The 17,077-nt window shown below is 46.6% G+C and overlaps 1 protein-coding gene across 24 annotated transcripts in view, besides 6 other annotated features; it reads right to left on the bottom strand.

Annotated features, from left to right (window-relative positions):
* The window catches only part of FGF1 (fibroblast growth factor 1), a 105,893-nt gene that overhangs the window by 65,021 nt on the left and 23,795 nt on the right, over positions 1-17,077 (bottom strand). The window lies entirely within an intron of this gene.
* Positions 2,745-3,245: an enhancer, noted in NCBI's record as "H3K4me1 hESC enhancer chr5:142039508-142040008 (GRCh37/hg19 assembly coordinates)". NCBI's record gives its function as "activates a minimal SCP1, AML or CMV promoter by ChIP-STARR-seq in naive H9 embryonic stem cells {active_cell/tissue: H9 hESC(naive)}" and the evidence as "EXISTENCE:reporter gene assay evidence [ECO:0000049][PMID:30033119]".
* Positions 3,246-3,746: an enhancer, noted in NCBI's record as "H3K4me1 hESC enhancer chr5:142040009-142040509 (GRCh37/hg19 assembly coordinates)". NCBI's record gives its function as "activates a minimal SCP1, AML or CMV promoter by ChIP-STARR-seq in naive H9 embryonic stem cells {active_cell/tissue: H9 hESC(naive)}" and the evidence as "EXISTENCE:reporter gene assay evidence [ECO:0000049][PMID:30033119]".
* Positions 10,240-10,748: an enhancer, noted in NCBI's record as "H3K4me1 hESC enhancer chr5:142047003-142047511 (GRCh37/hg19 assembly coordinates)". NCBI's record gives its function as "activates a minimal SCP1, AML or CMV promoter by ChIP-STARR-seq in naive H9 embryonic stem cells {active_cell/tissue: H9 hESC(naive)}" and the evidence as "EXISTENCE:reporter gene assay evidence [ECO:0000049][PMID:30033119]".
* Positions 10,749-11,256: an enhancer, noted in NCBI's record as "H3K4me1 hESC enhancer chr5:142047512-142048019 (GRCh37/hg19 assembly coordinates)". NCBI's record gives its function as "activates a minimal SCP1, AML or CMV promoter by ChIP-STARR-seq in naive H9 embryonic stem cells {active_cell/tissue: H9 hESC(naive)}" and the evidence as "EXISTENCE:reporter gene assay evidence [ECO:0000049][PMID:30033119]".
* Positions 12,484-12,983: an enhancer, noted in NCBI's record as "H3K4me1 hESC enhancer chr5:142049247-142049746 (GRCh37/hg19 assembly coordinates)". NCBI's record gives its function as "activates a minimal SCP1, AML or CMV promoter by ChIP-STARR-seq in primed H9 embryonic stem cells {active_cell/tissue: H9 hESC(primed)}" and the evidence as "EXISTENCE:reporter gene assay evidence [ECO:0000049][PMID:30033119]".
* Positions 15,597-16,117: an enhancer, noted in NCBI's record as "NANOG hESC enhancer chr5:142052360-142052880 (GRCh37/hg19 assembly coordinates)". NCBI's record gives its function as "activates a minimal SCP1, AML or CMV promoter by ChIP-STARR-seq in naive and primed H9 embryonic stem cells {active_cell/tissue: H9 hESC(naive and primed)}" and the evidence as "EXISTENCE:reporter gene assay evidence [ECO:0000049][PMID:30033119]".

Consider the following 17,077-nt stretch of genomic DNA (forward strand, 5'->3'; position numbering starts at 1 on the left):
GAGCCACCGCACCCAGGCCTACTGCAGGTATTTTCTAATGTAAAGGAAAAAACAACAACTTTTCAAGAGGGCAAGGATGCTGTCCACTGAATCTTTCCCTTCAGCCCCCAAACTTGCTAAGTTCTCTCTCCCTGGAGAATCTTGCCCATCCACCTGCTCCCGCCCCGTTCTCTGCTTCTCTGCACAGCCCAGCTTTCTGAAGGATGTCAGCACCCCCCCAACACCTCTCAGGCATCCCCAGCCCTCTGCAGTACCCCATCTAGCCCACCCCTCCACCAAAACAACCTTGGAAAAGCTTGTCCATGGTCTCCTCCCACACCTGATTGCGGTGGCCTGAGGCCGTGTGGTCAGCTGTGAATGTTGTTCTTTTTTGACTTGACTTTTACTGATTCAGAGATTCCTGCTATCTGGGTTCCCTTTAACCCCCAGGAGACCTGGTCCACCACACTCGCCATGCTGCTGGCTGCTGGCTGCGGCTGCGGCCGAGTGTCTGCCCAAGACTGGGTCTCTACCACATTCTCTGCTGGACTCTCAGCCCAGTGGGCAGCGGAACTTTCCAACCCACTCTGGACAATTCTTGCCCCTCTGGTTTCAATAATAACGCTGGTGTCTGGGTCTTCTTTCTCCTTCTCTTGCTTAGTATCTTGCCCTGGCTTCTCTGCCTTTCACCACCTTTTGGAGTGTGGTGTCCTCAGGGGCCTGTCCTAGGTGGTTCTGTCTTAAATGCATATATGCTCTCTGGGAGTGCTGGTCTGCCTCACATTCTACCCAGGACTCCCAAATCCTGCCCTGTGCCTCCACCCTGGTCTTTGCATTCAAAGCTCCCATCACCTCCAAGAAATCTTCCAGGACATTCTGCAGATAACAGCCCACGGTGGACGTCTTGCATTCTCCTTCTTCCATTGCCTTTGCTTAATTAATGACAGTGCAGTGGTTACAAAATAGCCCAAGCCACTTAATATGCCCTAGTCATATTCCCTTTCCCTCACTCCCACAGGCATCTCCAAATGATTCTACCTAAATATTTCTTAAATATTCCTTCCATCAGTGTCTCAGGTCAGGCCAGCAAATTCTCAAGCCTTATCCATGGCAATTGCTTCTAGTTTTTCTCTCTGTAGCTTATTCCCCTTACCTCATTCACAACATGGCCATCCTTGGCTTCCCATTCACAGATCTGTTCATGCCTTGCCCCTGATCACATTTCCTGTTATTTCTCACTGCCTAAAGGCCAAAGGCCAAACTTCTTAGCATGGCATTCAAGGCTCTTGACTATCTGGTTGCAACTTTTTTTCATTCAATCAACAAACTAAGCACCCAGGATGTGTCATGCCTTGGAGATACCTTTGTGAATAAGAGAGTGTGGCTCATGCCCTTATGGGACCACATTGTAGTGGGGCTTCACAGGCAGCAGACACACACACGCACACACTCACGAGTTAAAGGACAAAGAAAGAAAAATTGTCAGTTGTGTTTTGGAGGATATTTCCTTCGGTATCAAGGAACTGAGGTAGAAAAATAGAGTAAGACCGACTAGCAAGACTCCTTGAAGAGGTGACATTTAAGTTGAGATTTGAAGGAAGAGAAAGTATAGGCTGCGGAGAGTTGCCGTCCTGGTACCTGTGTGCATGGTGCTCTGGGGATGCTTCTGCCGTGATCATGAACTCTTCCAGGGGAGGAACTGCCAGGTCACTTGAGTCCCCAGTGCCTGGCATGTGGTAGGCTCAGTAATTGTGAGAAGAAAACCTGGATGGATAGGCAAGCGGAAGCATGCACTCTGAGATGAGCTGGGTATAATGTCTTTGGAGAACAATTACATAACCAACAATGCTGAAGCCTTGCATTTGCTGGTGTTGGCGTGTGTTGGGGGAAGAATGTCTGAAATGAGCTCTCATTCAGGTTCTTTATCACTTTGGTTCCATGGTCGCCATCCTTGTTATAGTGAAACAGGCATGTATTTTTTTTTTTACAAATAAAAGATAATAATTTTTTTTGTATTTTTCTTTGATAAAATGCTTCACCAGATCTTGCGTCAGTTTTTTTTTTTTTTTTGAGACAGGGTCTCGCTCTGTCGCCAGGCTGGAGTGCAGTGGCGTGATCTCAGCTCACTACAACCTCTGCCTCCCGGGTTCAAGCGATTCTCCTGCCTCAGCCTCCCGAGTAGCTGGGATTACAGGCACCCACCACCACACCCAGCTAATTTTTGTATTTTTAGTAGAGACAGGGTTTCACCATGTTGGCCAGGATGGTCTCAATCTCTTGACCTCGTATTCCACCCACTTCAGCCTCCCAAAGTATTACAGGTGTGAGCCACTGCGCCCAGCCCTTGCATCAGTTTTAAGGGGGAACTTTGAAGCAGAATGATGAAAGGCAGTGTCAGCGGTGGTTAAGTGCCCAGCACAGGCAGTTACATCACTGAATTCAAATGCTGCCTGACAGCAGATCCCAGGAAACCACTCAGGCTTCATAGCTTTATCTATAAAATGTGAATAACAAAATCTTTCAGAGAGTTGCTGGCGGGAGGATTCAGTGACACATGTGAAGAGTTAGCCCAGAGCCTGGAACACAGCTGAGGGGTGCCATTGTTGTGGGAGTGATGTTTCTCAGCCTGGCCCATCCAAATGTCTCCAAATGCTTCTGAGAGAGTCACGGCCAAAGATGACAGGGAACATGCCCTTTGGTCTGTTTCTCTAGTCGAAGGGGAGAAATTCTCTTGCTCAGATCAGAAGCTCTTTGACTCCAGAGCAGGCCTCTGAAAGTGGCCACTGCCACAGCAACACTAATGGGACTGCATCTCTGGTCTTGCAGGCCCTGCGTCAGGCGATTTCACTGCTGAGCTGACCGGTCCATAAACAGGCCATGGGCAGTGTCACACGTTTTCTCACACAACATGACTGTGGTTTCTCTTAATTTGTCTCTTCTCTGGGCTTCTTCCCGAGGCCTCAACTGTGCGGCAGCTGAAAACCATCTTCACGCTCATCCGGGGTGAGAATTAAACAGTCCTGTTAGTAAAGCTCTGTCCTTCAGCTCCTCTGTCTTTAGCCGCCCTCCCTGCGGCATGGTTTTAGGAGGAGTGGGAGCCACTCAGCCTCTGACTGGAAGGGAAGAGTTGGCCCCCGGCACAGGGTCTCCAGCATGGAGCCTTCAGCCTGCCCTGTGGCTGCCCACCCTTTGGCCTTCATGACTCAAGTTGGGGCCGCTGGTCTCTCTTGGCTGGGTCAGGGCCCAGGGCGGCTCCTTGGCTGGCCAGCTCTTGTTGGCTGTGGGTTTCTCCTTCCCTGCCCAGGAGGTCTGCCCCCGCTCTGCTGCAGGGTCACCCCACAATGGCCTCTGGCTCTCGTCTCAGCATCTATATCACGCAGGAGCAGCAGAAATCTGGAGTGTAACGCACACCCACTCGCCTTCTGATCACACCCATTCAGCCTCTCAAACTCTGCAGGCCTCCCCATGCTGCAGGGCTGCCCTGCCTTCCGTGTTCTCCTCAGCTCATCAGCAAGTTTTTAATGCCAAAGACACACACTCCATATCTTCTTTTCTAACCCCATACCCCATAGCCCAGTGACAGACAGGCATCCCCTACCATGGTAAAAGAAATCCCACAGTCTATCTGCCAGGCCTAGCCCCTGCTATGTTACAATGGAGTGAAAGCCATTTTGCAAATCTTTCCACAAATCTTGGTGGTTGAGCCAGCTGTCTTCTTTATTCTGTGTTCCTCCTTCCTTCTCTGGCTCCAGGCAACAGGACTCCTGGCCCAGGCTCTGAGAAGAGAGGCTCCAAATGGAACATGGTTTAAAGGCAGGATATGTGGTAAGAGGGGGAAAATGCATTGCTTCATATCTGCAAAATATTATCCATCATACACCATTCCTCTTGCAGGCTTGCCATAGCTAATAGAAGCCTTGTCCTTCAAGGTACTTTTCTTTGCTCCACTCTTACATTCATTCAACAAATATTATTGAGCACCTGTGACATGCAGGCATTGTGCTGGACACCAGATCAATAGCTGCCTCACAAACATGATGCAGATGTTCTCATCTCCACCTGAAAAGATGCTCAACCCCATTTGCCACCAGGGAAATGCAAATCAAAAGCGCAATATCACTTCACACCCACTAGGCTGGCTTTCATCAAAAAGGCACCCAATAACAAGTGTTGGTGAGGATATGGGGAAATTGGAACCCTCATACACTGCTGGTGGGAATGTAAAATGGTGCAGCCACTTTGGAAAACAGTCCCTCAAGTAATTAAGCATAGCGTTACCATATGACCCAACAATCCAGCACCTAAGTATGCAACTAAGAGAAATGAAAACATATTCATGCAAAAAAGAGTACATTAATTTTCATAGCAGAGTTACTCATAAAGCCAAAAATGGAAAGCAACAAATGATGAGTGGATAAGCAAAAGGTAGCATATCCATGCAAAACATTCAACCATAAAAAGGAATGCAGTACTGATACATGCTACAATGTGGATGAACCTTGAACACATTATATTAAGTTTAAAAAGCCAGTCACAAAAGACCACATATTGGCCGGGCGCGGTGGCTCACTATCCCAGCACTTTGGGAGGCCAAGGCGGGCAGATCACGAGGTCAGGAGATTGAGACCATCCTGGCTAACACGATGAAACCCCGTCTCTACTAAAAATACAAAAAATTAGCAGGGCATGGTGGCGGTTGCCTGTAGTCTCAGCTACTTGGGAGGCTGAGGCAGGAGAATGGCGTGAACCTAGGGGGTGGAGGTTGCAGTGAGCCGAGATTACACTGCACTCCAGCCTGGGCGACAGAGCAAGACTGCGTCTCAAAAAAAACAAAAAACAAAAAACACACAGACAAAAAAAAACCCACATATTGTACGATTCCATTTACATGAAATGTCTGGAATAAGCAAATATCTAGAGACAGAACGTAGATTAGTGGTGTGCCCGGGGCTGAGGGAGGGGGAAGCGGGGAATGACTGCTGATTCATATGTGTCCTGAGATTAGATAGTGGCAGTAGTTGCATGACACTGTGAATATACGAAAAGCCATTGAACTATACACTTTGAACGGACGAACTGTATAATTGTGAATTATATCTCAAGCCGTTAAAAATGTTCTCACCTCGTTCACTAATAGTGTCTCTTTTTTCCCAATTTCTTAGCTCTCTTGGAGCAAATGTGAATTCAACTTTCTGTAATTTTGAGACTTTCTCCAACATGCTTATTAGAGTTCAATATTAGGTGGACACCAATTCAATGATTTTTGAATGGTCATTTTCCATTAGAAGATAAACTTCAAGAGGGGAAGGATTTTTGTTGATGTTGTCACTATTATACCCACCATGCTTAACACAAGGCTTGACACACAGTCGGGTCTCAATAAATATTTGTTGAATGAATGGATACCTACATGAGCTTACTTTGTAAATGGACACAAAAGCCCAGTGATGACTGCTGGTCATTCATTCATTCATTCAGCACATATTTTCTGCAGCCTCCTCTGTGTATGGAGTGCGTGAATGAAACAGACATCTCTTTGCCCTGGGGGAACTTAGAACAAAGGAAACCTGTAGGTAGCACTTTTCATACTTTGATTAAATACTGAAAATAAATAAATCTAACATCCAGTAAAGGTTTAGAGTATTAAAATTGTAATTTTTTTTTTGAGACAGCATCTCACTCCCTCACCAGGCTGGAGTGCAGTGGCACAATCTCAGCTCATTATAGCCTCGACCTCCTGCACTCAAGCAACCCTCCCACCTCAGCCTCCCAAGCAGCTGGAAGCACAGGCACGTGCCACTAGGCCCAGATACATTTTTTTGTAGTTGTAGAGATGGGGTCTTGCCGTGTTGCCCAGGCTGGTCTGGAACTCCTGGGCTTAAACAATCCACCTGCCTCAGTCTCCCAAAGTGCTGGGATTACAGGCGTGCACAACTGTGCCTGGCATACAAAATGTTTTAAAGTTCTTCTCAGCAGGGCTTTGAAAGAAAGTTAGGCTGAGTTGAGACAGCCATACAAAGAAAAAGATTCCGAAGGACAGAGGATAGGTGAGAAGCAGGTTAATCAGGAAAGAAAAAAAAAAAAAAGAAAAAAGATAATGAGCTTTTCCAGCAGAACGATTTTACCAGTTAGGAAGGCTTTTCAAGTTGTGATATTAATTTCTTGTTGAAGTAGGAAGTAAAATCAGAAAAGGAGAAAGTGCCAAGTCCTAGCCCTCATCTCCAGTGACAGGGAAGTCTTTGAGAAGATGGGAAAGTATGACTCAGTGGCTTGGAGGAGAGAGAACAAGGGTGTTTTAAAGAGATGGGGAAGATCTAATTTAAGTACAACTGCCTTCTTCACTATGGAAACTTATTGGAAAGATAGCCAAGAGGTCGAGACAGAAGGCAAGAAGATACTCCGTGATGACCCGAGTTGAGAAACCAAGAGAAGCCAGCTTATACGTACACAGCCCACAGCGGAGGAGGGAGGTCTTGGGGTCAAAAATCAAAGCAAGGAAACTTGTCCAGTTGACTTTTTTTTCCACACAGACAACCTCTTCGTTCCACCTCTCTCGCCCCAGATTTCCATCTTAACATGCAGGAATTCTAGAAAACCATTAGCGATTTGATGTGAACAGAGCTAGGAAGTGGTTAAGACATGAATAAGGCTTTCGAAGAGGCAGGGTGAGGCTGAAGAGTTAAGACACTTGGAGAGATGAGAGAAGGCAAGGAAGATGTGGGAAGAATAAAGTTCAGCGTCAGGGATGATGCTTCCAAATCTGGCGCAAATCACAAGTGGAGCTCGGGAAAAGAAAGAGATGGGCCCAAGAAAGAGCCTATACCATGGAGGCTTATGAACTAGGAAATCAATGGCCAGAGCTGCTGCTAGGGTCCTGCTGAAGGGGTCACCTGGCCTCACAACCAGCACCCCTAAAGTCCAGGGGGAGTGAGCAGTTCCAAGTGAGCCCAAGCACAGATGAGCCCCAGGGGGAGGAAGGAGGCAAAGTGTTCTTTTTTCCTGCAGTTAGATGCTCCATTGTGTTTTCTGTTTGCCAAGCTGGCTGCCCACCTGAAGGAACAAATAACAAAGGCGCCCCCCACCTCCCAGGCAGCGTGCACTGATGGGTCAGGCAAGGCAGGGATTTGGGCCCAGGAAGTTGCCAAGGACAGATCTAGGCTCTGCGGCTCCCTAGCGCCGTGTCACTGGCTATGGGCACGGACGCCACTGCTCTAAGCCCTGTATTCTCTGCAAATGTAGTGGTGATACAAAAGGGCTGTCTTTGGGACGAATTAGATCGTGGAGGCAACGCTCCTAGCATGGTATGGCGCTTGTAATATTTTATCAAGCCTCAGATGCACATATTTTCAGTATTTGAACGTCTCTAAAATCAGGCCGTGCAACATTCTTTTTCTTCATGGTACATGAAGTGACGGTCTAACTTCCAATTTACTGTATCTTAGATCTGATAAAATATGGAAGTAGCCATCCAGTAAGTGGCAGTGGGGTGTTTTGTGATTGCTCTGCTTGTGTTTCATTCATGACACCGTCGATGTCCAGGGATTTCCTCTTCTAAGCTGGTTGAGTCTTTTTCCTGGTGGATGGGAGCCTGGGCTCTGGAGTCAGCCCAGCTGAGGACAAGTCTTGACTCCGCTGCTAACAGCAGTAAGATGTGGGCGAGGTGACGTCACCTCTCTGAACCTCAGTTTCCTCTTTTCTATAATGGAGATTACAGTATTACCTAAACTCATAGGGTTATTTTGAGGATAAAATGAGGTAAAGTTACGTAAGGTGCTTAACACAGTGCTGCATTGTATAAATGTTAATGAGGATGATAAAAACAAATTATTAAACAGTAACATTGAAAAACAGTAACATTGCCTTATGTAACAGTATTACATTTTATAAAAAGTGTTATTTGTGCTGCAATCTCAGCTGCTCTGAAGGCTGAAGTGGAGGATTGCTTGAGCCCAGGAGTTTGAGATCAGCCTGGGCAACATAGCAAGACTTCATCTCAAAAAATAAAAAACAAAACTCACAAACTTTACTTTAGAAAAATATTCCTGAGATACCTTGGGAACCTCAAGACAACACAAGTGCTCTATCTCACCTCACACCCCTCACCCCTGCCCCTCGTCCACCCCCTTGCCCTTCCATCCTCCGTTCTGGGTGGGGCTTTCCATCTCCCCCTGTCCCACTCCCCTCCTCAGGACTTTGGCCCCTTCTGGAAACATTACTTTAGAGCTGTTTACCTTGGAAAAAGTACTGGCTCACTCCTCCTTGGAAAAGGTCGCCACAGGTTCTGGCTGGGATTTTCTCAAGCAATGAATGACCCAGGACCTCCCCCCAACAAGGCTTCTCTGTCTCTTCATCTTCCTGTCTCCTCTCCCACCCTGGCTCACTGCATCCAGCTAGCTGCCTCTGTCCTCCCGGAATTCCCTCAACACTCAGTGACCTCAATATGTTCTCCTCAAAGCCTCTCATCTCTACCCATTGAGTCCTGTCTACCAATAAAGCTTCATGCTTTTAACGTTAATAGCTCACACACTTAGAGCCTCCCCATATCTTCAGAAACCCATGGTCCTTCCCACTGAAGGTTCTACAGTGATCCTAAGAGGATCACAGGTACGTAGCTCTCCTCTTCAAGCACAACCAATAAGCTTTTCCTTTGGGGAGGCTGGAGAGGCCCACAGGTAGTCAAGCGTTGCCTGTTCTTTTCTCGATCCCCAGTCTTTCTCATCATCTCATGAGCACTCAAGATGGAGCTAATGACTTCCCCCTAGGTTGGCTCTCTGGCAAACCCTTCTTTTTTCAAGGTGAGACCCCCTGCTCCTACAGCCTGCCTTTGATAACTGGCCTGCTCCACCACCCAGGGTCAGGAAAACCCAGACTTTTGCCTGCCACTTTGACTGCCAGTGGAATTGCATCATAACACAAGCTACTCTAGTATGGCACTTGCTGAAAAGTTCTCAGACTTGATTGAACTTTACCCAGTGCTCACCCTTAAGGTCTTGTTATATTAGGGTGAAATCTGTATCAGCATCATGGCCCTCGCGAAAAAGGACTTTTCCCTGGTTTCATAACCCCACCAGAATGACTCTAATGGTCTAAGGAGCATGTAATACACACACACACACACACACACACACACACACACACACACAATCTTAGCTTTTTAAAACTTGTTTCTGCTCCTTTAAATTTCTTAAAGACATGATACAATGTACTGGATAGGATGGGGTGTAAGATTTCATGAAATCCAGCAGCAGTGTGGTGTCGTTGAGTCAGAGTCTAGAAAGCACAGTGTGTTAGACAAGAATCCCAACATTTACTTATTCATCAGTCTGTCCATTCACCAGTCTGTGTATCCTCTGACATGTTCCCCACAAAAAAAACCGTAGCATTTCAGCCAGGATATGGAGGACAAAGTGGCATATAAAGATGTCTACATTATAACAAGAGAAGCCAAACTCAAGCCAAGTAAAGAAATGGAGCAAGAGGCCTGGTATACCAGTTCACGCCTACAATCCCAGTACTTTGGGAGGCCAAGGCAGGAGGATCACTGAAAGCCAGGATTTTGAGAGCAGCCTGGGCAACACGGCAACACTTTATCTCTACATTTTTTTTTTAATTAGGCAGGTGTGTTGGTGAGTGCTTATAGTCTCAGCTACTCAGGAGGCTGAGGTGGGAAGATCTCTTGAGCCCAGAAGTTTGAGGCTGCAGTGAGCTGTGATAGTGCCACTGCAGTGAGGCCTTGTCTCAAAAAACAAAAACAAAAACAAAAACAAAAATGAAGAAAGAAAGAGACAGAAAAAAAAAAGAAAGAAAGAAAAACAGAAAAGAAGCCGGGCACAGTGGCTCACACCTGTAATCCCAGCACTTTGGGAGGCCAAGGCAGGCGCATCACAAGTTCAGGAGTTCGAGATCAGCCTGGCCAATATGGTAAAACCCCGTCTCTACTAAAAATACAAAAATTAGCTGGGCAACGGTGGTGACGGGAGCCTTTAGTCCCAGCTACTCGGAAGGCTGAGGCAGGAGAATTGCTTGAACCTGGGAGACAGAGGTTGCAGTGAGCTGAGATCATGCCACTGTACTCCAGCCTGGGCAACAGAGCGAGACTCGGTCTCAAGAAAAAAGAGAAAGAAACAGGCCGGGCGCGGTGGCTCACGCCTGTAATCCCAGCACTTTGGGAGGCCGAGGTGGGCGGGTCATGAGGTCAGGAGATCGAGACCATCCTGGCTAACTCGGTGAAACCCCGTCTCTACTAAAAATACAAAAAATTAGCTGGGCGCGGTGGCGGGCGCCTGTAGTCCCAGCTACTTGGGAGGCTGAGGCAGGAGAAAGGTGTGAACCTGGGAGGCGGAGCTTGCAGTGAGCTGAGATCGGGCCACTGCACTCCAGCCTGGGGGACAGAGCGAGACTCCGTCTCAAAAAAAAAAAAAAAAAAAGAAAGAAATACAGCAAGGAAAAATCGCCGGCTTTTAGTCCCTCGCAGGCTGATGGGGAGAGAGAAAGGGAAGATGACAGGAGCGGCTGTCCTCCCACTACCAAATGTCCCATGCTAAATATGCTGAAGGCCTCGGCGGGCTCTGAAAATTCCGAACTCTGGACTCTGTTCCTCCAGGCTCCCTGGGGCTACTTCCAGCCTCATCCACATGCTGTCTTGTTCATGCCCTGGAAAGGAATGGAGGAAGCGCCCTGGCTAGCCTGACGGTGACTGTCTTCCCTTTCTCAACCTTCCCATCCTGACTGTCCCCTCTGGCCTCGCTCCCACTGACTTGGGATGCCACAGCGGTCTTGCAGTCCAAGAGCCTTCCTGCCCGCCAGCCCACCCCTGCTCACAAAGGCAGACCTGTCTGGAGCTGAGCAGGCAGGCCCCTGGGGGAGGGCCTGGGCTCCACGCCACTCCCTTTCTTTAAGAAAAGGGACAGGTTCAGTCCAGTGAGGGAGGGAGAAGGAATTTCCCTTGTTAAATGTCTCCTCCCAGGCTCAGGCAGAGGCCATGGTAGCTGGGTGCAAGGAAAGTTCTTTGCTTCAGGCACCTGGTCCAACAGGGCTGTGTGACTTGGCACATCACCATCCAAATTAAATCAGACTCAATCAATTTGCATTCAACATACTGTCATCTAATCCTTTGCACAGTCAAAAACGTTTAGTTTCCCTTTGAAAACTGTGACTTCCATTTCCTAGGTAAAAGGTGTAGGAGAAAATGTGGTCGCTAAAGCTCCCGCATTCGTGATGTTTATGTGACCGTGACTTGTCACATGACCTTGGGGAGGCTGCTCTTGTCTTCACTGTCCCATCCTCTTGACACCCCTCCCTGCCCCGGCCCCAGTAAGGACTTATATACAAGGAACTCACCCAGACACAGTTAGGTAATAAAGGTGAAGTCATGGTCAAGGGCATGGGTTTTGAAGTGAAGCTTCCTGAACTTAAGTCCAGAAAGTCAATTCATCTCTCTGAGCTTCCTTTATAAAAGGAGGCCAGTGATATACCTACCTCACGTGTTTGTCAAAAGGTTGCAACAAGATAGTGCAAGGGAAGCACCTAGCACATTGCCTCATATAAATAAAATATGCATTCTAACATCTCATAATTTTAGCTATTATTTTTGTTGTGATTATTCAGGATGAATGAGATAAGCTTCCTGTCCTTGAAAGAAGGTGAGAAGCTAAGTCATAAATACCATGACAAGCTATGATAAGTGCTGTGAAGGTTGTGCCAAGGGCTGGGGGGATGGATGGAGGGCTGAAGAGGAAGGGGTCAGGAGGACTTTCTGGAAGATGTGGCATCTCAGCAGGAAGGACAAACAGGTTTTACATATGTGGGCATGGAATAAAGGAATCACTTGAACAGAGGCCCAGGGGTGGGCAAGTAGAGGGCATCTTCGCCCAGCATGCATGGCTGATGCCGCTGAGCGGGGGGTTTTCAGGGACACACAGGGTTAGTGCAAGCTAGCTTGGAGTCAGATCATAGAGGACCTTGAATGATGCTGTTCCAAAGCATTTAGACTTTTTTCTGCAAGCAAATGAAAGTGGAGCCAGTGGAGACTTTGGAGAAGGGAATTTGGAAATTCTTCTGGAAAATTGTTGGTTACTGGTAGGGGGCTGGGCAGAGCAGAGGCCACGGGGCACAGTATCCTCTATTTCCATCTCTGAAAAGCTCATCAGCCCTCAAGTCTTCTTGACTAGACTACAAGCCAGTCGAGGACAGAAGCATGAGCTTCCTTCTCACGATTATGTCCCCAGCACAGCCCCTGGGGCTCAATAAATGGCTGTTGAATTGAAATAGACAAAAGATCCTAAACTTGAGCCATGAGAGTGGAAGGGAGAGATGGCTCCAAAGACACTCCAGGAGAAGAATGAAGAGGATTCTGCAAAGGAGTAATCAGAGGTGACTCGGGCATAGAGGGACCGGAAGGATGAATGGAGAGGCTATTTACTGAGAGAATGGACGCAGCCAGGAGCAGCCCATCTGGCAGGACGACTGCTGCACTCGCTGTGGGGCGTGTCGCGGCTGAGGTGAACAGAGTCATCCATCTGCTGACTGGCAGGCAGTGGACGCGAGCTCTGGAGAGAACCCAGAATATGAGGCAGGCACAGGAGAAGCAGAGCAGAGGGGAAAGATGAGATCTGCAAGGAAGAACAGCCTGGAGCCTGAAGAGCGAAGCAGACAGCGGCAGCCACCCTGGGGGTCACTCCACACTCTGAGATCCCCAGTGCAGCCGGTTACCACAGAGGAGCAACCCCAGGATCCTGGGGAGAAGAGGCACAGTCAGGAGGAGAGCCAAGAAGTACAGGATCACAGCCTTCAAGGGAGAAGTCAGCTGGTCTGCACTGCCCGAAGCTACAAAGAGGTTAACCAGAGTGGAAAGTGGGTGCCGGAGCCTCGGGATTGATCTCCTGCCCCACAGCTTTGCTGTTCCCGTCACTTCTGCACACTGGCACTGAGGTCATGCTTCTCAAGAAAGATCTGCATGTGCCAACCATTGGCTCAGAAACCTTCCCTTGTTTCCTACTTCCCAGCTAGGAAGGCCAAAGTCCTTGGCCAAGTGACCTCAAATCTGGTGTGAAAAGCCTCACCTTCCACTACGTCCTTCCACATCCCAGCAATCTGAGCTGCTCCCTCTCCCCTGTTGCACACCAAGAACTTCCATGCCTTCCTATGTTGGTTCTTGCTGTTCCCTCAGCTAGGAAGGCCATTTTGCTCAATGTTCTGCTAATTAAAACTCTCCTCATCCTTCAAGGCCTATGTCAAATGCTACCTCCACTGCAAAGCCTTCCTTGGTCTCTCCAGTCAGTAGGGTCCTTCCTTCAAGGACCCACGGTGTGGTGCTTTGCCTAGTCATTACTTCATTCTTTCTACAATTGAGTTGTTGGCCCCCATCCACTCACACATGACAGCATGAGAGCAGAGAACATGTTTTATCTTTGAATCTCCCATGGTATAGATTCTTACATGCAGAAGGCACTCAACCAACGCCAGCAAAGCATATGAAGAAATTAGGAAAAAAACCCCACAAAAACCTGACAGCAGTAGATGCTACCACTTCCAATCATTTATTTGGAAATTACGATGTGCCTCACAGTTATTTGGACTTCAGGGGTTTTGCCCTGCAATTAATGTCTCGGCCCGATGTTGGGTTGCCTTACAATCACATGTGTTATCTGTGATCTCTAGGGCCATTTCGGTTTTGAGAGCACACTATTGCACATACACTAAGATGTTTCTGAGTATTTCCCATAGTTAGACAAAAATGGAAAAACTTGGCCCAGCCTTCAGAAGCGCTTTATCACATGTGCTGCCTATGACAGTGGTTTAGGGAAATCTCTACACAATTCCACCAGGATCATAAACACATTTCCTGAGCTATGAATTAAGAGGAAAAAGTTTCTCAACATGCAACACAAACTCAAAAAGCAGCTGTTCATTTAACCATCTATCATCTTCTTTTGACCCTTTGAACAGGCTCTGACAGTATTTAGATTACATGAACATACTGTTTTATTCCTCAATAGCTTGCTGTTTGTAAGGAAAACATATATTCAAGAAATATATTCAACATGGTTCAGGAGAACCTTCTATGTATGTGTCAGTGGAGTGTCTGTGTTAACAAATGATGTCCAGTATATGAATCAGGTTAGTTCTTCTTTGGTCTGTGTTTTAGGGGTAAGACGTCTTCTGTATTGTTATATAAAACTGAGAGCAACTTAGGATTGATCTAAACAGTCCTGCTTTATTTCTTTTTCTTTTGCCTGCTTTGTTTTTGCTTTAAGACAGACAATCGTAAAACACAGCTGCTACATAGAAAGGAAGGCTACATTCCTCTTGCAGCTGTGAGCAACAGAATTATTCAAATGTTTTCTAATCCAATAAACCTGGTTCTTCGTAAGGAAGAGAAAAAGAGCTAATTGTCTTTAACACTTAAGACTTTAACACTCCCCTCCTTCAAAAAATTAGGGGAAAGGGAAATATGGTCAGAGGGTATTTTGAGTGATTTCTAAATTCATTTTTCTTGGATCCTGCAGAGTAGGATGGGAGGGAGTTTTCGAAACCACTGGACTTGTGAAGAAACGCTTCTTCTAGCTTCATAACGATAGCAATGAACACGTTCTGCACATTTGTTTCATTCCAGGCAGAGTGCTCGGGAGACCTTTACCTGTTTTACCTGATTACATCCTCTGAGGTATGTGCCATTTATACCTGGGGAAACTGAGGCTCAGAAAAATGACCTTGTCTGTGGTCACACAGCTGGTAAGGGGTAGGAATGGAATTTAAACCCAGTTGTCTAACTTCAGGGCCCACATTTCAGCCACAACTGAGGTTTTTCCTAACCTAACCCCATTGTGGTGGAATTGCACAAAAAACATACTTGAGAGGTGAGTAATGTCATCATTCCATTACATACAAGTTAAAAGACTATGCAGTATGATACCTTTTTTGCTATGCACACACATATATGTGCATAAATAGATAGGTAGATAAAGAGACAGACACAGACATAAACAGGAAAAAACTGAAAAGGCATAAATCAATGTTACCAATATTTTAACAGTGATTACCACTGGATGATGAATAAATTTTAATCTTAAAATTCCTGAAATTTTCTATTTCCTATAATGAGATCTATTACTTTAGCTATTCAAAAATAATGTTAGAGTAACATATACTCATTAACTGAACAATTTAATTAAACAAATAGATGTTGAGCATCCACTCCACCAAGTACCAGGCACTGTATATTCAAAACAATAAAAAAAACTACATGAAATACACAGCAAATTACTCACATCCCTGCTCTGCTAACGTTTTGGATGCTCTCCTTCAGGTCTTTTTCTGTACAGTTTTTTTTTTTTTTTTTTTTTTGAAACCAAGTCTCACTCTGTCGCCCAGGCTGGAATGCAATGGTGTGATCTCGGCTCACTGCAACTTCCGCTTCCCAGGTTCAAGCCATTCTCCTGCCTCAACCTCCCAAGTAGCTGGGATTACAGGCACGCACCACCATGCCTGGCTAATTTTTGTATTTTTAGTAGAGATGGGGTTTCACCCTGTTGGCCAGGCTCGTCTCGAACTCCTGATCTCAGGTGGTCTTCCTGCCTCGGCCTCCCAATGTGCTGGGATTACAGATGTGAGCCACCGCCCCCTGCCTTCTATGCAGTTTTTAAATTAACTAGCAACCAAGGCAGATAGTCAAGCCCTGGTTTATAGTTAGGAGTTTGACCAGCTTCCGGACCTGACCCTCTGCTCCTACCGTGAGACTTCACATCACTTCTCTCTAAGCTTCAGTTCCATCATCAGTGAAAAGGATTAAGAGGGGGACTTACCTCATCAGTGATTAAGTGAGTTAATGTAAGTAAAGTGCCTTGAAGCAAACAACAGATAATAGCTATTGTTATTATTATTCGATGCAGAATCTCTGCATTGTGGTACTGTTGTTTTCCATCTCCTTTCTTCTGAAGAGCAGTAACACAATAGTGTTTTTCTTGGAGAGCACGGAAAACTGTTCAGGCTATTCAGGCATCTAAAGTCACCTTTGAGTTTTGCAGGTGAGTGGCATCACTCAGTCAAGGCAAATTCTATCAGAGTTGAGAATTTGGGCCTTTTCTCATCTTTTATTCTTAGTTGATCCAAAAATTCCTCAGGAATAGTGGAGTTGGTCCATTTGGTCTCCTATCTCAGCCAATGATACAAAGAACAGAGATAGCTACCATGGTATAAAGAGAGAGGAGTATTTACACACCATTCAGAAAATCAAAGAGGCAGATGTTGGACAAAGATCTTCCTTGTGTTTGGAAACGTAATAAATATGACCAGTTACAAGCAATAGGCTATCTAAACTCTATTGCTTATACAATTCTATGACTTCAGGCCTTGGTGTTCTGTTCTGCCTGATGATTGTGGGATATGGTTCTATGAGCTCTTTAGAAGGAAGATGTTTGGTATCAAGCTAATTTCTGGAAGAACCAGCCTGACTCTTTTGTGGTCCTGCTCCACTCCAGCCTCAGCCACCATTATCTCTTTTCTACATGACTCGGTAGCCCCCTAAATCATGTCCCTGCCTTTCCTTCACCCCACTTAGGGTGATTAGGGTCAGTTCTCCACTCAGGGGTCCACCTTCTTTATAGGAGAATATCAATCTTCAGCGAGGGTCTTAAAATGTCAATCATTGCCTGACCCCTGCTACATCCAACACGCCCAGTGACTTTCCACTGCACTCAGAACAAAGCCCCAAACTTTTTGCATGGCTCCAGGGCCCTGCATGAGGTCTTTGCATGCCTCACCAGCCTCATTTTGACTACTTTCCTCCAGAACCCTGGCCTCTGTGGCATTTTAGCACACACCAAGCTCATGCCCACCACAGGCCCTCCCACCTGTTCTCCCTCCCTGAGGAACAGTCCTCACCCTGCTTCATGTGTGCCTGGTGCCCCTTGTTCTACTGGCCACCACTTCTATGTCACCTGCTCAGAGAGGCTCCCCTCCCCTCCCAATGTATAATAGCTTTCCCTGTCCTGGTGCCTTGTTTGTTCTCTTTGGAGAAGACATCTTATCACAATCCCTGTTGACTTGGTTTATTTCTTTGTTGGCCTACTTTTTCGTGTGTTATGCTCTATCTGTCACC

Source organism: Homo sapiens, chromosome 5 (assembly GCF_000001405.40).
Source record: "Homo sapiens chromosome 5, GRCh38.p14 Primary Assembly".
In the NCBI taxonomy this organism is placed as follows: domain Eukaryota; kingdom Metazoa; phylum Chordata; class Mammalia; order Primates; family Hominidae; genus Homo; species Homo sapiens.